General features: G+C 43.0%; 2 protein-coding genes across 2 annotated transcripts; one reads left to right on the forward strand and one right to left on the reverse strand.

The window, feature by feature from the left end:
* Positions 11,756 to 19,122, forward strand: OR2I1 (olfactory receptor family 2 subfamily I member 1 (gene/pseudogene)). Its single transcript, NM_001396058.1, has 2 exons — positions 11,756 to 12,206; positions 14,574 to 19,122. The coding sequence occupies exons 1-2, from the start codon at positions 12,201 to 12,203 to the stop codon at positions 15,513 to 15,515; spliced, it is 948 nt and encodes a 315-aa protein (NP_001382987.1). The 5' UTR covers positions 11,756 to 12,200; the 3' UTR covers positions 15,516 to 19,122.
* Positions 16,864 to 21,081, reverse strand: UBD (ubiquitin like modifier D). Its single transcript, NM_006398.4, has 2 exons — positions 21,024 to 21,081; positions 16,864 to 17,699 (listed from the first exon to the last, which is right to left on the reverse strand). The coding sequence occupies exons 1-2, from the start codon at positions 21,048 to 21,050 to the stop codon at positions 17,229 to 17,231; spliced, it is 498 nt and encodes a 165-aa protein (NP_006389.2). The 5' UTR covers positions 21,051 to 21,081; the 3' UTR covers positions 16,864 to 17,228.
* Positions 21,082 to 23,622: the final 2,541 nt, after the last annotated feature.

Raw genomic sequence — 23,622 nt, forward strand, 5'->3', positions numbered from 1 at the left:
GTCCCAATCCAGCTTCCCAGAGAACACTGAGAGAAACTGGGCCATGGTGGGCTGCCTTGGCTGCCTGGGCACACCCTGCAAAGACAAAGGTTGGTAACTTACCAGGCCTAGGAAGGAGAGTCAGGGTTGCCTTCTGACCTGCTGGGCTTCCCAAGAGGGTCCTGCTGGGCCTCCCAAGATTGGTGGGAATCTCACAGAGCAAAGTCAAGGAGAGGAATGAGTCTCCTGCAAGTGATCCATCCATCCCATATCCTCCACTGCAGGGTACCCTCTCCTGCTTGCCCCCATCCCTCTCTCCACCTCGTTCAGGTATTCTTGATGCTGTGCCCAACACCAGGTGTGTATCCATGCACCTAGGTGCCCATAAAGGAAAGAGGTGCATTTCTTTACCTTTGTTCTCCAACTCTCTCATTGACACAGACAGTTTTCATGGCATGGTTTTGGTGGAGGCACCAGGCAATTCCTCTGCCCTAAGGTTCTGAGATATTCTGAGTCCCACATGGGGCAGTTGCTTTTCAGTGCTCTAGGGAAGGTCTACCCAACCTCTCTCCTGCTCACCTCCCCTCAACTCCTCACTTTCAGCACGAGGGCCTCCTGGTAGGACCTTTATGTTGTTCTGCTGCCTGGAAGGGCCTCTGCACATCTGTAAGCTTTGTATCCTCTTTCCAATCTTTGCCCCAGTATCAACTTCCAGAGAAGCTTCTGCTTCCTATTAACATTGCATTCATCACATGCTGAGTGTCTATGCAACTTACTTACTTCTGCAGAAATCCCTCTGTGGGAATGGAAGATTTATCAGGTTTTTTATTCTCTTCACAATGTTGTTCAATAACTTCTCCAGCTCCTGGAACAGGGTTTGACATAGAGGACTCACTTGGGTACGGCACCTATGGAGAGCTTTATGCAGCTCAGTTACACTTGGGGAAGTGCTGGTGACCTCTTCATAAAAGCAAACTTTGCTTCTGAATCACAGAAGCTTCTGGAACAAAGCTTGTTCCGCAAACTGATTTAAAAAAAAAGGCTTCTTGGACTCCTGAGGGAGACTCACACCTGAACCCTGGGCTACGTCCACAACAGGAGCAGGCACTCTCCTCCACATTGCCAATCACAGGTCTTTCTTTGTAGAATCATGAGGGGAGGGTGACCAACTTATCCTGCTTTGCCTAGGACTTTCCCAGTTTAAGCTCTGAACATCTCTTGTCCTGAAAATCCTCATAGCCCTAGGAAAACCAAGGTGGTTTGTTGCCCAACTTGAAAGTTAAACAGGAGAAGGTCAGTACCCCTTCTGGAATCCCACAGCTTGGTTAAACCCAGTGATCTGAGGAGTTCATGCTGAGACTGTGAGAGCTGACCTCTTGGGGGCAAATCCCAGCTCTTTTTCATAGTAGCTGACTCTTTCTTTGCCTCAGCATCCCCATCTAAGTAAGGGCTGCTGCTATGGGATGAATTGTATTCTTCTAAATTCATATGTTGAACTATCCCAGTACCTCAGAATGTGACTGAATTTGGAGACAGGGACATTAAAGGGGTAATTATGTTTAGATGGGTCATTAGGGTAGGCCCTAATCCAATAGGGGTAGTGTCTTCATAAGTAAAGGAGATTAGGACACAGACACCCACAGGGGGATGACCATGAGAAGACACAGGGAGAAGGCAGCCATCTACAAGCTAAGGAGAGAGGCTTTGGAAAGAAATGATCCCGGCAATCTTTGGATCTCAGACTTTCAGCCTCCTAAAACTGAGAGAATGAACTTCTGCTGTTTAAGCCACTCAGTCTGTGATCTCTGTCATGGGAGCCTGAACTGATGATCACATTTATGATGAAAAGTTTACAGACGGAATTATGGAAAGTCTCAGAACAGTGAGATCTACCTGGTTCTACAACCCTGAGCTGCTGAAGCTTTGCTTCTGAATCACAGAAGCTTCTAGAACAGAGCTTGTTCCACAAACTAACTGATAAATGCCTGCGATATGCCTGGAAATATTCCACAGGTGACCTTGTGGCCTGCAGTCACATATTGGTGCATCAGCAGGGTTTAGGAGAATGCTAGGGACCAGCTCCAAGTGAGCCCAGTGTTTGAATCTTCCCTCCTTGCTGGGATGATGGAGTCCCCTTCAGTTGGCAGCTCTCTTGAAATGGAAGGGTCCAGCCCCAGCCCCTCCCCTCCCTGCACTTGTTACCTAGACACTCTTACCTGAGGCCAGGGAGGACCGCAGATCTGGCTCAGATCTAATCTGGTCATAGGATGAGTCTTGGGGCTTGGTAACATTGGTGCCCATGGAAACATCAGGGTGACCTGCAGTTCTGTGCCTGGGCCAGGGTGTCAGAACTCGTGATGATGACAGAAGAGAAGCTGCAAACAGACCTCCGTGGCCCACCCCAGGCCACCAAGGCACCAAGCAGGAGCAGTTGGGCTCTGGTCCCCAACAAAGAAAGGAGATTTATAGATAAAAGAGTTTCAAGGGGAGAGGTGACTTACCCTTCAACAAAGAGAAAATGCCCATTTTGGAGGCAGCATGTGGCTTCAGGGACAGAGCCAGGCTTCCCATCCCTGGGCTCACTGAGACCTAGCTCATGCCCAGAGACCACTACTGAGGCCAGTGACTAAGCAGCACATTCTTCCTCATCACACAAGAGGAGGACACAGCCCTCCTGGGGTGGGAAGGCTTCAGTGCCTGGTGCAGCCCCAGCACTGGGCACAGAGAGATCCTAGCACCTGGAAATGTCATTTCCAAGTCGGGTCATGAGCCAAGCTCCCCAAGGAGCATAAACAACAAACAGGTTGGATCCTGGGATTCAGGGAGCCAGCTCTGATGGAAGTGCTCAGGTTGATGCAGCCAAAATAGCCAAGTAACCTTTGCATTGGGATTGAAGTACTTGCTCTGGTTCTGAGTTGAGAGCCCACCCTCCCCACTTAATCTTTATTTGAGGTGAAATTTACATAACACAAATTAACTAATTTAAAGGGCACAGTTCTGCCTCACTTAGCACCTTCACAATGTTGTGCAACCACCACCTCTATCTGGTTCCAAAATATTTACATACCCCCATAAGAAAGCCTTTTACCTGTTAGCAGTTACTCCCCTTGTCTTCCTCCTCCCAGCTCTTGGCAACCCCATCTACCTTCCATTTCTGCACATTCACCTATTCTGGACATGTCCTATTAGTGGAATCAGACCCTCTGTGATTTTTTGTCTGTTTCTTTCACTCAGCCTCTTGTTTTCATGGCTTCTTCACAGGGTAGCATGCATAAGAACTTCATTCCTTGCGTTAGATACAAACTAAATATGAATATAGAAGCTGTGAAATCAGAAGACCCAAAAGGATTTTCCTAGAAGTCATAGACTACACCTCAGTAATACAGTGGCTCAAATCCTACCTTTAACAGAATAACACACCCTCTGCCCATCTACACAGCTGGGGCATTTGTGAACCAGGGGCCAGGGCACAGTTGTGGCTCACCTGCTGGGACTACCCTGGAACCCCGAATCCTGCTTTCTCCAGGAACCTGGTTTCTGTCCTGTCCCCATTTTCCTGAGAAATGCACCTTCCCCAGTAAAAAATCATGAGGTTTCAAATTCCAGGAAAATATGTCTCTGAGTTAAAATGGTTTGAAAATGAAAGAAGGAAGAGAGATCTTTTCTCATACCTGGGAAGTCTTGGATAGAATTGGTACCACAGAGGCCAATGTCCTGAGAGATGAAAGTTCTGCCCACAGGTCAGGAAGCAATCTAACGATGTCTGATTTGAACTGGGTCCTGACAAGAGGTTGTCAATTTCTCTGTGTCTGTTGGGTCTTCCTGTACTGGGGCAAATTGCATATCAGGGCCCAGGCCTTTATCTGAAACATTGTATCTCAGCATCTCCTGATATCCCCCATCCCACTGACACTTTTGATTACTCCATCCTGAACAATAACTTCCCTCAAAAAAGAAGGATCTTTAAGACAAGTTGTCACCTGCCTCCCTGTGTGAATCTCCTAGAATGACATCCAGCCCAGCCCAGCCCATCTGAGACAGGCAGGAGAGGGAACTCTGGTGGGCATTTTGTCAATAAACTTGAGCATGCCAGGAACTCAAATGTGCTCCTTTCATTTTGCTGTCAATTGAATTGCATTTTTTTTTTTTTGCAAAAGATGTGGAAGTTCTTGTAAATCTGTGTCAGAAACTTACATTGGATTCACCAAGCCTAGGGAGATTTGGCTGTGCTTTGTTGGAGCCAATATTTTTCACCCTGGTTTACCCCACCACTGACTTGCTTTCTTTTTTTTTTTTTTGAGACGGAGTTTCACTCTTGTTGCCTAGGCTGCAGTGCAATGGTGCAATCTCGGCTCGCTGCAACCTCAGCCTCCTGGGTTCAAACGATTCTCCTGCCTCAGCCTCCTGAGTAGCTGGGATTACAGGCATGCACCACAACACCTGGCTAATTTTGTGTTTTTAATAGAGACAGGGTTTCTCCATGTTGGTCAGACCGGTCTCAAACTCCCAACCTCAGGTGATCCGCCCACCTTGGCCTCCCAAAGTGCTGGGATTACAGGGGTGAGCCACTGTACCCGGCCTTGACTTGCTTTTATGAGGCAAGAAAAGACATGTCTCCTTGTTGCACTAATTTCGATCAATCAATAAGTCAATTAGTTCATTTTCATTACATCTCTCTGAATCAATTGAGAGATAAATTGAGAAGTCAAAACAATGCCCAACAACATAGCATCTTTATTCCTCCCTCCCCTAATGACCTGGGAAGCAGTTTGTGACCCCAAAGCACTTGCTTATATGTTATTCTCTCCAGGAATTGAATTTACTCCTCAAAGTAATAGGCACAGGCACCCATGGTCAACACCTGTCTCCTGAAGCTTATCACTTAATGGAGGGAACCCAGGAGTATGATTCCTCCATGCAGACAGTCAGATTCCAAGGAGAAAGGAGGAAAAGTCCTTCAAATGCCACATTCAGCCCCTTCTTCTGGATGCCCCACTCAGCAAAGTCACTTGTGGCTGATGCTGGTCAGAGAAGCCCTTCCAAATGGGAACATGGGTGTAGGAAATATGTGCTTCTCACACTCCCAAAGGATCACAAATGGGGCCCTGTGTCTCTTAACTTCCTTATGTACAAAAGTACATACTCACTAGAATATGATTTTACAACATTTCCATCATTCCTATACAATGTGTTGGGAAGTGATCCTTTCTGATCTATATTTTGGAAGAGTTTGTATAGAATTGTATTATTTTTTTCTTTAAATGTTTGGTAGAATTCACCAGTAGAGACATCTGGGCCTGGGCCTTTTTTGTGGGAAGATATGCAATGACAGTTTTAATGTCTTTACTTCTTGTAGGCTTATACAGATTTTCTATTTCCTCTTGAGTCAATTTTGGTAATTAGTTTTTCTAGAAATTTATCCATTTCATCGAAGGTGTCTAGCATGTTAGGATAAAGTTGTTCATAGGATTTCTTTATAATCCTTTAAATTTCTATAAAGTTGGTAATGATGTGCCCAATTTCATTTCTGATTTTAGGAATTTGAGGCCATTTTTTTTTCTTGGTAAGTCTAGCTAAAGGTTTGTCAATTGTGTTGTTATTTTCCATGATTCAACTTTTGGTTTCATTACTTTTCTCTATAGTGTTTTATTTTCTATTCCATCTACTCTTGCTCTCTTCTTTATTATTTCCTTTCTTCTGCTTGCTTTGGGGTTAGTTTTCTCTTCTTTTCCTTGCTTCTTACCATAGAAAGTTGAATTACTGATTAGAGGTATTTTTCTTTTCCAATGTAGGCATTTACAGCTACAGATTTTCCTCTAAGCACTGGTTTATCTCCATCTCATAAATGTTGACATGTTATGGTTTCATTTCATTTCATGCATATTCTTTTTAATTTCCCCTGTGTTTTTTTTTCTTTCACTTGTTATTTGTGGATTCCTGAAGTTTCCAACTGTTGGTGATTACTCATTCAATTCCATTGTGGTTGGAATACATATATTGTATTAGTTCAATTTTTTTTTAATTTATAGATAATTTGTGCCCTCCCATCTAGTCTATCCTGGAGAATGTTCCATGTGTGTTTCAAAAGCGTGTATAATTCATTTGTTGTTGTCAAGTAGGTCAAGTTGGTTGATAATGTTTCAGGCTCTGTATCCTTGCTGATTTTCTATCTAGTTGTTCCATCAATGATTGATAATGGAGTGTTGAAATCTTCAACTATTTTTAATGATTTGTTTATTTATCCCCTCAATTCTGTCATTTTCATGTTTTATGTATTTGGGGGATGTGTTGCTAATTGTGTGTATGTTTATAATCCTCATATCCTCCTGATAAATTGAAATTTTATCATTATAGAATATGCCTCTTTATTTCTAGTAACGCTATTTTTCTCAAGGTCTACTTTGTCCAATATTAGTAGAGCTGTCTCAGCTCTTTCATCATAGTTTTCTACATGGTATACTTTTTTCCACCCTCTTTTTTTAACCTATTCATTTTAAAATCAAAACTGCCTCTGGTAGACTGCATATACCAGACATTGGACATACTAGGTGAACATATTAGACGAACAATTTTAAACACGTTCAAAGAACTAAAGGAAACCATGTCAAAAGAACTAAAGGAATGCATGAGAATGATATCTCACCAAATACAAAACATCAATAATGAGATGGAATGTTAAAAAAGAAACAAGGCTGGGCGCGGTGGCTCACGCCTGTAATCCCAGCACTTTGGGAGGCCGAGGCGGGCGGATCACGAGCTCAGGAGATCGAGACCATCCCAGCTAAAACGGTGAAACCCCGTGTCTACTAAAAATACAAAAAATTAGCCGGGCGTAGTGGCGGGCGCCTGTAGTCCCAGCTACTTGGGAGGCTGAGGCAGGAGAATGGCGTGAACCCGGGAGGCGGAGCTTGCAGTGAGCCGAGATCCCGCCACTGCACTCCAGCCTGGGCGACAGAGCGAGACTCTGTCTCAAAAAAAAAAAAAAAAGAAAAGAAAAGAAACAAATAAAATTCAGTAATTGATAAATAAAATCGTAGAAATAAAAACTTCACTAGATAGCCTCAATAACAGATTTGAGAAGGCAGAAGAAAGAATCAGTAAATTTAAAGATAGGTGGGGAAATTATCCAGTATGAGGAACATGAATTAAAAAGAAGAAGAATGAACAGAGTTTCAGAGACCTGTGGGACACAATCCAGTGTACCAAAACACATAAACGAGAATTTTCAGGAGAGGATAGAATAAAAGGAACAGAAGGAATATTTAAAGAAATACTAGCTGAAAAACTCCAAATTCAATGAAAAAATGTTAATCTACACTTTCACAAAGCTCAACAAACTTAGATAAAATAAATTCAAAGAGATTCACACATAGAAACATTATAATCAAACTGCCAAGAAACAAAGAAAGAATCTTGAGGGCAAAAAGAGGGAAGCAACTTATCATGTACAAGAGATTCTCAGTAAGAATAAGAACTAATTTCTCATGAAAAATTACAGAGTCAGGAGGCAATGGGATGACATATTCAAAGTAGCAAAAGTAAAATACTGTCAATGAACAATTCTAAAGCCAGCAAAACTATTCTTCATAAATGAACTAGAAATTAAACATTCTCAGATTTTGAAAACTGAGAGAAGCTGTAATTACCAGACCTGTCTTATGGGAAATTATAAAAGCAGTCTTGCAGGTTGACATGAAAGGACACTACATAGCAACTCGAATCCACATGAAGAAATGAAGAACTCCAGTAAAGATAACTACATGGGTAAATATAAAAGACAGTATAAATGCAATTTGTTTGCGATTTCCTCTCTCATATGATTCAAAAGACAAATACATAATGAAATAATTATAAATCTGTATTGATAAGCCTACAATGTATAAAGATGTAATTTGTACGGCAATAAAAACACAAAGAAGCAGAAGAGAATGGAGCTGTATGGAAGCAAAGGTTTTGTGTGCTATTGAAATTAAATTGCTATTAATCTGACTAAATTGTTATAAATTATTAATTGCAAGATCCAGGGCAATATTTAAAAAATACCTCAAAAAGTATAGTAAAAGAAACAACAAGGAGAATTAAGTAAAACACTAACAAAATTTATTTAACATACAAAGGCAGTAATAATGGAATAGAGCAATAAAAAACACGATATAAAGAAAATAAGTAGCAAAATGACAGGTCAAAATCCTATACTATCAGTAATTACATTAAATGTAAATATATTAAACACCCCCTTTAAATGGCAGAGACATGAAAAAAAAAAAGAAATCCTGTCATTCATGGCAACATGGATGAACCTGGAAGACACCATGTTAACTGAAATAAGCAGGCACAGAAAGATAAAGACTGTGTGTTCTCACTCACATATGGAAGCTAAAAAATGTTGAGCTCATTAGAAATAGAGAGTGGAATTTTGATTATTAGAGCACAGGAAGGATCGAAGGGAGGAGAGAGGGAAGGATAGGAAGAGATTGGTTCATGGATACAAAATTACAGCTAGATACCAGGGGAGGAGGCTGGCAAGATGGTGGAATAGGAATAGCTCTGGTCTGCACCTCCCAGCAAGATTGACCCAGAAGGTGGATGATTTCTGCATTTCCAACTGAGGTACCCAGTTCATCTTATTGGGACTGGTTGGACAGCGGGTGCAGCCCATGGAGGGTGTGCCAAAGCAGGGTGGGGCATCGCCTCACCCGGGGAGCACAAGAGGTCAAGGAACTCCCTCTCCTAGCCAAGGGAAGCCGAAGCCTTGAGGGACTGTGTGGGGAGGAACGGTGCACTCTGGCACAGATACTGCGCTTTCCTCACGTCTTCGAAACCTATAGACCAGGAGATTCCCTCTGGTGCCTATGCCACCAGGGCCCTGGGTTTCAAGCACAAAACTAGGAGGCTGTTTAGGCAGACACCAAGCTAGCTGCAGGAGGTTTATTTTTTCTGATTAAGTCAAGCAGCAGTTCTCACCGTGGCTAATTAGGCCTCCCACTGGGACATTTGGCAATGTCTGGAGCTGGTTTTGATTGTCACAATTAGAGAGGATGCACTACTATCACCTAGTGGGTAGAGCCCCGAGATGGTGCTAAACATCCTACAATGCACAGGACAGCACCCCCAACAAAGGATGATCCAGTCAAAATCGTCAGTAGTACTGAGGTGGAGGGCACTGATCTTTAGATCTTGTGACTAGGCTTTTTCTTTCTGAGTAACATGGAAACTGCTGAAAGATTTTGAGATAAGAAGTGGTATGATCTGAGTTGTTATAAATGGGTTACTCTGGCTTCCATGTTGAGAATATACTAAAGGTTAAGGGAAGAACCAGAGGATTATTTCAATCATCCAAGCAAGAGATGTTGACAAGGACAGACCAGAGTGGTGGTCCTAACAGTGATAACGATTTGTCAGTTTCACAACATATTTTTGCAGGTAGAGCCAATAGAATTTGTGGGTAGATTATATGTGAGTGAGATGAAGAAGAGTCAGTATCACAAGATTTTTGTCTGAGAAACTAGAAGAATGGATTTTCATTACGGGAGATGAGAAAGGCTACAGAAGAAGCACATTGTGGGGGAGAGGGTGGGTAGTAAGGAGCTCAGTTTATGGCATGTTAAATCTGAGATGTGTATTAGATACCAAAAGCTGCTGGTGGGTAGACAATTGGACATAGGAATCTGGAGGTTAGGAGAAAAATCCAGCCTGGAAATATAAATTTAGGAGTCATCAGCATATAGATGGTGTACAATGTCATAAGACTGGATGACGGAAGTGCATGTAAAAAAGGAAAGAGGACTGAACCCTAGGCACAGCAGGGAGGAGGAGAAACCAATAAAGGAGATTAAGAAGGAGCAGCTGGGAGACTTTGGTGATTTGAAGCTGTCAGTCAGCTCAGACTGCCATAACAAAATACCATAAACTGGGTGGCTTCAACAACAGAAGTTGATTTCTCACAGTTCTGGAGGCTGGGAAGTTCAAGATCAAGATGCTGGCTGATTTTGTTCCTGGTGATGGCTCTCCTCCTGGCTTGCAGACAACTCCCTACTTGCTGCCTCCTCACGTGGCCTTTCCTCTTTTATAAGGAAACTAATCCTATTTGGCCCTCACCTTTGTGACCTCATTTAACTATAATTACCTCCTAAAATGCCCATTTCAAATACCATCACATTGAGGATTAGATTTTCAACATATGAATTTTGGGGGGGGACACAATTCAGTCCATAGCAGAAGTGAAAGGCATGTTCCAAAAAGGAAAGCTAAGTCCACTCTATTGAAAAGCTTCTAACAGGTCAAGTAACATGAGGACTGAAAACTACTATATCAATGTGGAGGTCAGTTTGTGACCTTCGATGAAAGGTTTCCAGTGCAGAAACCTTGTTGGAGCCAACCCGAAAGAGAATTCAAGGACTTGGATGGTAGCTAGGGGGAAGTGAAGTCAAGAGAAGATTATTTTCTGATGAGTGAAATCAAAGTATGTTTATGTATTGATGGGGATGGTCCACTGGAAGGACAAATTATATTACAGGAAAGAGGGGAAAGATTAGAGTAATGTCCCTGAATAAGTGGAAAGGGATGGAATATAGTGGGCAAGTGGGGGTACTGGCATCAGACAGATGCAAAATAGTATATTCCTAGCAGTATCAGAAGAAAAGGTGGAGTCCCATATGTGAGCACAGATGCAAGTAGGTGAACAGATGGGTTAGTAAGAACTTCTCTTTTTATTGCTTTACATTTTTTCAGTAAAAAATGAAGTAAAATTTTTATCTGAGAAAGATGATATTATTTGAGAGAGAGGAGTACTGGGGATTTGAGGGGAGACCAGAAAGTATGCATGAGTTACGTAGGAGAGGGGAAAGTGAGTGGACTAGGAAAATATGATTATCAATGACATTAGCCCCTTCCTCTTAAAGTAGTGGTCATGAATGTAAAGTGAAACCTCTCAGTGTGGCTATTGGCTTTCCTTCGGCCACAGTCAGCTGAACAAATATAGGGAGAGAGTAGGACTATAGTTGGATTTAAATAGGAAAGCAATTTAGCTGAAAGAGTGTAACAAGTGAAAAGGGCAGGAACATTGATGTATGCAAAGGAGTAATAGTGATTGACGAGACAGTCTAAGCTTGATAGAGAACTGAAGATACAAGGGGCGTGAGGGGCCACGATGAATTTGCGGACCTCTCACTGAGGAAGAAACTGAGAGGAAAGTATAGAAAGATAATCTATGAGGATACTGAATTCACCAAGAATCATCACAGTACTGGAGAGAGTGAGAGGGGATCAGGGACAAAAATCTTCAAGGACGAAGGAGGAGCAAAGGGAAAGAGAATGATGAGAGCCACAAGTGGGGAGGTGGACTTTGGAGCAAAGCTGATGACATAACAGTCAAAGCTACATTCAAAACTAATAATGACTTCAACAAATCTACAAAATTCCTGACAGAAAGGGTTATTTTCCTTGTTTTACAGATGATGACATTGAGAGTCACTGAAGTTAAACAATTAGCTTAAGGTCACTCCATCAGAGAATGAAATTCTAAACCAGTTCCAATTGAATAGTAGAAATATTAATGAGAGGGAATTACGCTGCCTTTGGCCTTCATACACTGCCAGAGGCACACTACCCTAAAGGGACTTTCCCTCCAGAATTTCCTCTTCCCCACTCTTGGGGACTCCTCTCCGGACACCTTCATGCAAAGTACTAATGATAGGAGTGGGACATCTATTCCCCAGAGCTCCATCCTCTCTTCTAAATAACAGGGAACGTTGAGTCCCCTGTTTTTTCTCTAGTGAGAGCACTCATCAGCATGCTTCCTCCTCTCTAACTGTGTCCTTTAGATCCAGGAGGGATATTTGCTACCACCACCAGCTAATGCTGATTTGCTACCAGCACAAGGCCCAGGTCCTTGTCTGGTCTGTACCCCATTACAAGGTTCTCCAGGAACAGACATCACCACCTCTGCCTAGATCCTGAAATTTCACAAATGTAGGTTCTTTCTTACCCGTTCTTTTTATTCCTCTATTTACAAGCACAATGACACCCACCCCTCGTCTTCTTCCTGAAATACCTGGCTCTGATCCCAGGCATCCATTCCAGAAATCAACACAGCTATGCAATTGCATCTTTTATTAAATACTCCCAACTCCATTTCAAATCCAGAGAATCCAGAGCAGGAGCAAGAGACCAACCTATCATCTGGAAACTCAAGGTGTAAACATTAGTGCCAAAGATTAGTCATGAAGGTAAGTTGGGTATTACAGTGCCCTACAACAAAATGGTCTTGTGCCGAGAGCCACATTCTGAAATACCAAGTGAAGTTTGATGACACATTATATTATATATTTCACAACAGATTTGTCTTCTAGATGTGTGAGGGAGATGATGGGTTTATGTGTACAGGTGCACACATGCCTATGTTTTGGGGAATTTGTGCATACATGTAACAAGAATGTTATCTGTGCAGTTTTATTATTGTGTGCCTGTTTTCATGGTGTGGCATATTTGAAGAGGAATGGTTTAGAGCTTGCCAGGCTGAACAGTTATGTGTCCGTGTAATCACCGCATTAAAGAATTTGACCTTTTGTAACTCAACATCTCTAGCCACCATTGGTCTGTAAGCCTGAATGTCACCTCTCCTACTTTATTCATCTCTGATATGACCCCAAATTATAAAATGATCTATAAATATAGGTAAGACTTTGCATGTCCTTTCATACTCCACAGTCTCTAGCACAGTGGATCCTGGTTGATCAAACAGGAAGGACCTCGAAGTTAGTCAAATATAAGTGGAAAACCTATTAAGCATTTACAAATAATGTGGCCTTGGGCAAGTAATTTAACTTCAGTTACTCTCCTAACATACTCTATAAAATAAGGCTATTGCCTAATATTCAAGTGAGTTAAGATTAGAGTTAATAAATGAAAAGAGCTGTAAATGTTCATAGCAGTTGTATCACTGCCTAGCATAAGAACCCCTTAAAAACCTGTTTCTTAATTTGGGAAACAGATATGACGATAGTTAGCATTTATTAAAGGATGACAGTTAACAACTGCTATGTGCCAGGCCTTGTTCTAACAGCTTTTCATATTTAGCCCACTTAACATATTTCTATTTTCATATGAGGAAACTGAGGCAGAGAGAGGCTAAGTAACATACCCAAGGTTTTCCAGCTAGAAAATGGCAGAGCCAGGACTCAAACCCAGGCAGTCTGGCTGCTGAGCCCTGGTTCTTAATTATGACATTAATGCTTATTCTGCCCAGTGAGGATAAAATGAGTGAAACATAAAATCAAACAGGATGTTTTGGTAGGGAGCAGTGTTTTTTCCCTCTGAAAAATGAAAAATTAGGTTATTGTGATTTTGTAATTTACAGCAGTGAATATGATGTGAAAAATAAGTTATCCATATAATAATTTATGTCAGGAGTCATGCAGCAGAAAGATTTCTGTCCATCACGTAAACTTTCATCCATTACATAACCCATATGTTTCTGTACCATTAAGACACTTGGTTCAACAAGACCCTTGGAGAATGAGGTTCCTTTTGTTCCCTGGGGTTCTCTTTTTATTTTATTTTTGGATTAATATTTGATAGTAAAGCCAAGGATTTGGGACAGGAAACTTAGATGACATCTAGTTCAAACTCCTTGATTTACATATGAAAAAATTGAGACAGAGGGAAATGAAGATTTCCCCATATCATATAACTGGCTAAAGGGAGCTATGTAGGTAAAACCAAGATGTCCTGATATTCTAGTCTACCAGAAAGTGTTCTTTTTTTCTACCCAACTTATTCCTGATTTAAAGGCTAGTATACGTGTGCTGATCTCCCCTCAGTGGGAGGGGCATGGACGTTGGGAGTAGTCTCTATTCACAACAAATTAAAAATCAGTAATCAGCCGTATAATGGGTTGTGTTAGAAAGTAAACTAAGGCCCAATAAAATATTTAAGAGTTTATTTGAGCAGTGATCCAGAAGTGGCTAGGGAGCTCCCCAGAGAGAACATGAGGAGGAGGCTTTTTAGGACAAATAGATAAAAGCAAAGATAATATTTCATTGGTTACAGTTATACAGTTACACAGTTATACAGTTGCCTTATTTGGTCTATCCCATGAGGAAGTCCTAGTTACTAATTACGTTTTTGTTGGCTGCTTCTGATTGGTTGAGCTTAAGTTCTGTGTTTCTTTAACATAGGCATTTACAAGAAATACCACAAATAAAGTTTCAGACATGCTTGCAAATCAAGCAAGGTTAAGGTCACTTAGGAGGCCCAACTGGCTCTGTCTGCTCAAGGATTCTTCTGGCCTCGTCTCCATTTTACATGAACTGTTGCATAAATAAACACAGAGTACCTGAAACAACGGAGGTGATCATTCTGCCTACCGAGTGTTGGCCAGGCCAAGCTTGGAGTGTTGCTCTTATTCTTAGGGAGTTTATTTTTAAGTAATCTCATCTGTAAATGGGATTACAATCCACAAACTGACCTTGTATATGATTCCATTCCTTCTCCCAGCCCAGCCCCACACTCCAAGGTTTTCCCTTTGCTTATAAGGGGTAGTCACCCTTTTTTATTTCGACCTTCCAAACATTCTGGGAGTTTTCCTCCTTTAGGCCAACTACAGCGCAGAGGAGCGCTTTCTCCTGCTGGGTTTCTCCGACTGGCCTTCCCTGCAGCCGGTCCTCTTCGCCCTTGTCCTCCTGTGCTACCTCCTGACCTTGACGGGCAACTCGGCGCTGGTGCTGCTGGCGGTGCGCGACCCGCGCCTGCACACGCCCATGTACTACTTCCTCTGCCACCTGGCCTTGGTAGACGCGGGCTTCACTACTAGCGTGGTGCCGCCGCTGCTGGCCAACCTGCGCGGACCAGCGCTCTGGCTGCCGCGCAGCCACTGCACGGCCCAGCTGTGCGCATCGCTGGCTCTGGGTTCCGCCGAATGCGTCCTCCTGGCGGTGATGGCTCTGGACCGCGCGGCCGCAGTGTGCCGCCCGCTGCGCTATGCGGGGCTCGTCTCCCCGCGCCTATGTCGCACGCTGGCCAGCGCCTCCTGGCTAAGCGGCCTCACCAACTCGGTTGCGCAAACCGCGCTCCTGGCTGAGCGGCCGCTGTGCGCGCCCCGCCTGCTGGACCACTTCATCTGTGAGCTGCCGGCGTTGCTCAAGCTGGCCTGCGGAGGCGACGGAGACACTACCGAGAACCAGATGTTCGCCGCCCGCGTGGTCATCCTGCTGCTGCCGTTTGCCGTCATCCTGGCCTCCTACGGTGCCGTGGCCCGAGCTGTCTGTTGCATGCGGTTCAGCGGAGGCCGGAGGAGGGCGGTGGGCACGTGTGGGTCCCACCTGACAGCCGTCTGCCTGTTCTACGGCTCGGCCATCTACACCTACCTGCAGCCCGCGCAGCGCTACAACCAGGCACGGGGCAAGTTCGTATCGCTCTTCTACACCGTGGTCACACCTGCTCTCAACCCGCTCATCTACACCCTCAGGAATAAGAAAGTGAAGGGGGCAGCGAGGAGGCTGCTGCGGAGTCTGGGGAGAGGCCAGGCTGGGCAGTGAGTAGTTGGGGAGGGGAGAAAGTATTAAGCCAGAACCCAAGGATGGAAATACCCCTTAGTGAGTCAGTTTAGACTTCAGGCTGTTCATTTTTGTATGATAATCTGCAAGATTTGTCCTAAGGAGTCCAATGGGGGATATGTTTTCCTCCCGTGAGGAAATGTTTAGTTCTTGAGGGAAAATCCCTAAATCCTCTATATACTCAGGTTTAGGGAAGGAAAACCTACCCCTCACAACTCCACGCGCAGGGAAAATGATGGACGTGATGCTCGCCTTTAGCTTCCTCCCTATCTGATGGAAGACCATGGAAGACCTCTTGGTCTCTGCAATCAGAAGTCTCAAGTTGACAAGAAAATCATAGTCCCTACCCTGCAGGAGAGGGTACATCCAGAAAAAGCGACCATGGACTCTATTCTCAGAAATCAGTCCAACTTAGTGCAGACCTGGCCAGATGACCAGTGCCCTCCCCGGGGCATTTCACCCATAAATGTGATGAGGAAAGCCCATAAATGGTGGTGAATTTTGCTGAGTGGGGTTAAGACTGGAAACCCCCCTGCAGGAGTTGGTTCTTGAGCAAGTTTTAAAGAAACAAGGAACTAGGATGAGTGTGGAAGAAGGCGGGCACGTCTCAGCCCGTGAAAAAAACTCACAGGTGATCAGTAGTGAGTCATGAGAGAGAGAGCAAGAGAGAGAGTCAGAGAGAGGAGTAAATGGAGGGAGGAAGATGGAGGAAGGGACTCAAGTTCTCAAGACAGGAACAGGGATCTCCTCATGAAAAAAAGAAGAGAGGAAAATGCTCAATCAGCAGAACCTGAGCAGAATATTGAGGTCAACCCAGAAGCCAGCTCCTCACCCACCCTCACCCAGACTGGCGCCCTCATCCTGGAGAAGACCTGCTAGACCCTAAGGCAGGTAGGAGAGAGGGTGGTCCACAGTCCCCCAGCTTTAGAAAGTTTGTTCGCTCCCAATGTCCATCTACCCCTAGGAATCCCCACTAGTTAAACAGAATTGCTAGATCCCTGTGGAAAATACCTTTCCTTGCCCACCATCATCCCCAGAAATAATAACTATTTTAGTTGGGTGTGAGACATAGAGAATAAAAGGGGGCATGGTGCCAGACTTCATTTCATACAAATAGCTTTAAAGGAGAAGAGGGGGGAAGGAGTTTAATTTAGTTTCTAAAATGTTTAGTAATTTGATTGTGATCATGTCAGAGCAACTAATTCATTTTATAAAATATCATTTCACTATGCTCTATAAGTAGAAATTCAATTTGGTTCAACCATTATTGAGTGATATAAATAAAGCACTGGACTTAACAAAGACAGAAATACAGAAATCAGTAGAACATGGATCCCAACCTAAAACTTACTCTCTTGTCATAAAGGAAAGGAGATAGGAGTTTTTGCATAAATAACAAGGTATCAAGACAGAATTAAATTCCAAGCTGGCTTTGAATGCTCTATTTTGCCTTAAAAATTTATTTACTAGTCTCAGTAATACATTAGTAAAAATCATGTCACTTAATTAATTGTGTTAGAATCAAAGAAACATAGAGTTGGGCAATATACTTCATCCTACCCATCCCACCCAAATCTTACTCTACTCATCTCATTCTCATTAATTTTGGGAAATCATCAGAAGATGTGTTCGTTGAGTAAGAGATTAAAAGAAATAAGCTTTTTGACCCCTGCCAACACCCCATGCCCAGGGTGGTCACCCTCCAATACAATAACATGCCAGGAAGAGTAAGTTGCCCTTTCTGATGCCGTAATCTGCCATCATCTTCCCATCTTCCAGTCTCTTTCCATTGCAAGTCACAATCTGGGTCTCAGGGATTATACCCGTCTTAGTCTCGATCATTGCTTTCACTTGTGCCACTGAGCTGGACCTTCGCACCTGGAGGAGGTGCCTCTTTGCCTCATCACCTGACTCCACAAGAAACAAGGGCAGCTCCTCATCACTGGGCTTCACCACTTTCAGGGTAAGGTGGATGGTCTTCTCTTTGTCAATGCCATAAGATGAGAGGCTTCTCCGTGGCTTTAAGATCTTGGAGCCCAGCAAAAGAACCTGGTCCTGCACAGGAACCTTGGTCTTAGACCGGACATGTTCTTTGATTTTTTTCACGCTGTCATATGGGTTGGCATCAAAGGTCATTAAATCCCATTCCTCGGAACGGACATGCACCTGGGAAGTGAAAGCCACAAGACAGTTACCTAGGATGCCTGCCTCCTTTACACTTCTACTCCCCACCACAATGGCTCCCCCTCTTCCACTATCTATCTGGTCCTCTAGCTCCTATTCAGTAGCCAGTGTCCCTCTCTTTCTTGGAACTTCTTTTTTGGAATTACCAAGTTACAACACAAATAAGATAATTTGTCCCATTCCTTTATAATCACACCTTTTTTTCGATCTTGAGAATGGAAAATAAAATCCTGAGCCCCCAACCAACTGAACGGACGCTCTTTTGCTCAGGGGGACCCTAGAGAAACTTTAAAAACTTAGTCATTGGGCCAAGGGTGGTGGCTTACACCTGTAATCCCAGAACTTTGGGAAGCTGAGGCAGGCTGATCAATTGATGCTGGGAGTTCGAGACCAGCCTGGTGAACTTGGTGAAACTCTGTCTCTACTAAAAATACAAAAATTAGCCAGTAGTGGTGGCAAGTCCCTGTAATCCCAGCTACTCAGGAGGCTGAGGCAGGAGAATCATTTGAATCCAGGAGGCAGAGGTTGCAGTGAGTGGAGATGGCACTACTGCACTCCAGCCAGGGCAACAGAGTGAGACTCTGTCTCAAAAATATAAATAAATAAAACATTCAGTCATGATGGAACAGGAGGTTGGATATGCCTCATTGTATCTTCTCCCTTTTGCAGTTTAGACACAACTGACCAGCAAAGTTAGAGATTATAAGACTGAGAGAATGGATTCTTTGTGGCAATAAGATAGCAAATTATAAACAAGACCGAGGGCTATAACAGGCAAAAGTTAAGTCATGCATCCCTTACACTTAAAGAATAAACTATGTTCTGCCACAAAGTTTTTTCTTTTTTCTCTAGCAGCTAAACAAGCACTGGCCTTGACAGGAACAATATTAAAACAATTACAGCTCACCCTGTGTTGGGGAACACAGGCTAACTGACCCCGTGTTCCACAAGCCATAACTACAGTTTTAATTGGACAAAAGACTGATTTCAGTAATTTTCTCCTGATAAGAGACCACTGACCATGGACTGGTTCTGGCTAGTTTACAGAAGCTGTGCATTTGAATGCCTTTGTGTCCCTGCTTCACCTTTTCATGTATAAGGCCTAACTGTAATGCAATTAAATGTTAAGTCTCCACTTCAGAGTGACCATGGGTGGTATGTAACATGCAAGCTTATTCAATATGCATGCATTAGGACCCCCTCCATGAATATTCATTGCCTCTGCTATAACCTATTGGATATGTATACTTAGCAAACCCCTTCAGCATAAATTCCTGTGTCACCTTTCCTCCTGCAAAGTGCTTGCTTTTGGTTTTCAATCAGAAGCAAAACTTCCCAGCCTGTCAGAATGGCTACCTTGCAGACTATAACCTTTCATAAGAAATAAACTCCCCTTCTAAATTTATGAATTGTGTGATTTTTTTTAGTTGACAATCTTTACATTTCGTTTTTCTGTGCATTTCAATGGATGTAAAAAACATACCTTTATCCATCTCAAAATGTAATTAGTGATTTTCCACCTTATTTACCTGCCTCTCCTATCCAGATAAAGTTTGTCAAATGTCAACAAGTAAATACGAGGCTTCAAAAGATGTACATCAGACTCTAAAAACAACTCTCAAAGAGAATTTCCAAAATATGACAGCCTCATGAAGATACTCATAGCCATAGGATACCCTCTGTCAATACTTCAGAAGGAAATCCTGGGTAGGACACATAATCACTGAACTGTTAGTTTCTTTTCAAATATCCCACTGCTTTATAATAATAACTCACATACTACCGTGACACTATGTTCAGTGTTTCTTGTTAATTTATATTTCTTGTGTTTTTATTTCTATCTAATGAGAGACAGGACTAGCTGGATTTCCTAGGCCGACTAAGAATCCCTAAGCCTAGCTGGGGAGGTGACTGCATCCACCTTTAAACACGGGGCTTGCAACTTAGCTCACACCTGACCAATCAGGTAGTAAAGAGAGCTCACTAAAATGCTAATTAGGCAAAAACAGGAGGTAAAGATATAGCCAATCATCTATTGCCTGAGATCACAGCGGGAGGGACAATGATCGGGATATAAACACAGGCATTCGAGCCAGCAACGCTACCCTCTTTGGGTCCCCTCCCTTTGTATGGGAGCTCTGTCTTCACTCTACTAAATCTTGCAACTGCACTCTTCTGGTCTATGTTTCTTACGGCTCGAGGTGAGCTTTCGCTTGCCATCCACCACTGCCGTTTGCCACCGTCGCAGACCCGCGGCTGACTTCCATCCCTCGGATCTGGCAGGGTGTCCGCTGTGCTTCTGAACCAGTGAGGCGCCCATTGCCGCTCCTGATTGGGCTAAAGGCGTACCATTGTTCTGCACGGCTAAGTGCCCAGGTTCTTCCTAATCGAGCTGAACACTAGTCACTGGGTCCACGGTTCTCTTCCGTGACCCATGGCTTCTAATAGAGCTGTAACAACCACCACATGACCCAAGATTCCATTCCTTGGAATCCATGAGGCCAAGAACCCCAGGTCAGAGAACACGAGGCTTGCCACCATCTTGGAAGCGGCCTGCGGCCATTTTGGAAGCAGCCCACCACCATCTTGAGAGCTCTGGGAGCAAAGACCCCCTGGTAACACTAATATAGAATGTGATCTCCTTTGATAAGACTAGGGCCTCACTCACAGAAGGTAGGGACTATATCTAAGTCTTACTTCAATAGCTGGAAAATCCTAAAAGATGGGAAAACTCACCCCTAATGGCCACTTGAAAGCCTGAGAAGACCTCCCTCATACTCCATTCAGAAATATTTTCCCAATCTAGATATTGCAGACATTTCTTCACTGGAAGATCTGTGTTAAGCATTGCCTTAATTCCAGGTTCTCTCCATAGTGCATATTTTCTTATATAATGTAATGTGTTAGATCATTAACAACTTCAGATGAATGAGTTTTGTGAAGCTCTCCTTTGAGAGGAGAGGGAAGATTAAGTTTAAGAACCTTAAAAAATGTTACCATAATTTCAAATCTCACCAGCCCTGTGGAACACAAAGCTCACCCCCACTTTTTCTTCTACCATTTATCCCTAAGAGTAGCTAGTCCAATGTTTTATTTAAAAAAGAACACAGAAGCCAGATAACCAGCTTCTCTTCAGACAATCCCTCTTCCCATTCTGCAAATGTCAATGCCAGCCTCTTCTCCTGAAGGATGCCTGCCCAGCCCCCCAGAGCCCTGAGTACTGCCCAGCCCCCGTTTCTAAGATCTCTCCCCAACTCTTGAAAGTGCTTTTCCTTTCCCCATCCCCTTTATCAAATCCCAACTTACACAGAGGCAGGAAGCATTGGGAGCCATCTCTGCAGACAAGGGGCCAGAAACCAGAGACAGAAAAAGGACTTTGCATGCAGCTTATATACCAGAGTTGAGTTGGAAATCCCCTGCCTGGATTGCTGTGTTTGTCCAGCTTTGCTGTGCTCTTTGTTCTTGCATGCTCCCATGAATTTTCTTTCACTTTTGCTGGGCAGGAGTTAATAGACAAAGAATGCTTTCTGATCACATACTTCTCTCCTCAAGCAATCTATTTGCAAACCTCATTCCAAACATGGGATGGTCTTTCTGTGTTGAAAACTTTTCCCTTTTCTCAGGAAAGATCTTTGTCTGTTGAAGCCACCTGGATCTATACCCACAGCCCAAACCTAAGCTGCAGATCTCTATGTCTAGCTGTGTCTGTGTCTATGGGAATTCTCGTTCCTTGAATTCCCGGCATATCCTTGAACACCCCAATCTCTCTGCCATCTCCACGCCACTGAGCATGCCTTTTCCTCCAACTCTATCCCCACCACCATGAATTTATAAGAACACACGGTGTAAACAGTATCTTCGTCAAAAAGCCTTCCCTAACTCTTTTCCTCCCCATCCTGGGTTATGTGTCCATCTTCTATCCTCTACACTTCCTTCAAATGCCTCTCAGAGCATGTTTCTTCAACAATAGCATCGTCTGCTTGTCTGTAATCTTTAGAAAAGAGTAGGAATCTTGGGGGTCGTGATTGTGTCTTAATTAACTTGTATCTTTAGCACTGTTCCAGCATGCTGTCAGGCACAGGAAATAATTTATAAATGTTTACTAAATGCACAAATGAATTAATAAATGAATGAAAAGTAAGTAAATAACAAAAAAAGGAAAAGTAATATTTGGTGAGTACTTAAATTTCAAGAACTGCACAACATATTATTAAATGTTACCTTATTTACTGTTTCAGCATTTTAATGAAGTAAGTACAGGTGCTCCTTCACTTATGATGGGGTTACATCCCTGTAAACCCATTGTACACTGAAAATATCCAAAATCAGAAATGCATTTAATACACCTAACCCACCAAACATCATAGCTTAACCTAACCTGCCTTAAACATGCTCAGAACACTTACATTAGCATACAGTTGGACAAAATTATCTAACAAAAAGTGTATTTACTACTGAAGTGTGAAATATCTCATTTAAGTTATTAAATACTGTACTGAAAGTGAAAAGCAGATGATTTTATGGGAACTTGAAGTAGGTTTCTACTGAGTATGTATTGCTTTGGTATCACTATTAAATAAAAAATCATAAATGGAATCATTGTAAGGAACCACCTCTATTAGTATCCCCGTTAATAAGTAAGAAGCTACCTCATCCACAATCATATTAGTAGTAGCTGGTAAGCAAGGGTTCAAACACTAATCTGTATTTCTATAGTCCTTGTATTCTTCCTATATTATTATGTTATTTCAGTGGGAAAAGGCAGGGAGAAAAGTGCTACTGGAGTTGGGTATTTCCAGCATGGGGTTACTGTGAGGGCAAATCTAATATACTCTCAGAAAAAACTAATTCAGGGGATTCCCTACCCAGAGATGACCTGGATTCTGGGAAATAGTGCCCTTTCAAGAAAACATATGAACAACAAACCTGGACTCTGACCTCTCTCTCTCTCTTTACTCTTCCCTTCCTATGGGAAATTCCCTCCCTGCCCAAAGCCAGGGCCAGGACTGTCCCAGACACCTTGGTGCCCCTTTGCTGACCACAGGCAGGACTTCATCTTGGGACCTGACCTCCTTGCTTCTTACCCAGTGTCAATCTGACTTTTTTCTGTCTCTCTCTATGTCACAATAAGTTCTTTCAGAGACAGATCTCTTTTCATTTGCTGTTTTAGTCTCTTTTGCATACTATAAAGGAATACTTGAGGCTGGGTAATTTATAAGGAAAAAAAGTTTAATTGATTCATAGTTCCTCCAACTATACAAGAAGTATGGCACCAGCATCTGCTTCTGGTGAGGCCTCAAGAAGCTTTTACTCATGGTGGAAGGTGAAGGAGAGCAGGCGTGTCACATGGCAAGAGAGGGAGGTAAGAGACAGTGGGAAAAATGCCAGGCTCTTTTAAACAACCAGCTCTCTTGTGAGCTAATGGAGTGAGAACTCATTTATTACAATGATGACAGCCCCAGGCCATTCATGAGGGATCTGCCACCACAACCCAAACATCTCCCAGTGGGCCCATTTCCAACACTGGGGGTCACATTTCAACATGAGATCTGGAGAGTACAAACATCCAAACTACATCATTTACCCCTCTGACAAATTCAGAAAACCAACTAAAGTGTCAGAGGTGTTTGAACCAGAGCAACTCCATCTTGAATAGGGGCTGGATAAAATAAGGCTGACATCTACTAGGCTGCATTCCCAGGAAGTTAGGCATTCTAAGTCACAGGATGAGAGAGGAGATCAGCACAAAGTACAGGTTATAAAGACCTTGCAAATAAAAGGAAGCAGTAAAGAAGCCAGCCAAAACCCACCAAAACCAAGATGGCAACGAAAGTGACTTCTGGTCATTCTCACTGCTCATTATATGCTAAATAAAACATTAACATGCTAAAAAATATTCCCACCA

The sequence above is a fragment of the Homo sapiens genome, chromosome 6 (assembly GCF_000001405.40).
Source record: "Homo sapiens chromosome 6, GRCh38.p14 Primary Assembly".
Classification (NCBI taxonomy): domain Eukaryota; kingdom Metazoa; phylum Chordata; class Mammalia; order Primates; family Hominidae; genus Homo; species Homo sapiens.

Bases quoted from the DNA above. Each gene is read 5' to 3' on its own strand.
- UBD (NM_006398.4), bottom strand. From the start codon at position 21,050: ATGGCTCCCAATGCTTCCTGCCTCTGT. The intron at 17,700-21,023 runs GTAAGTTGGGAT...TTCACTTCCCAG, and splicing joins CCAATGCTTCCTGCCTCTGT to GTGCATGTCCGTTCCGAGGA.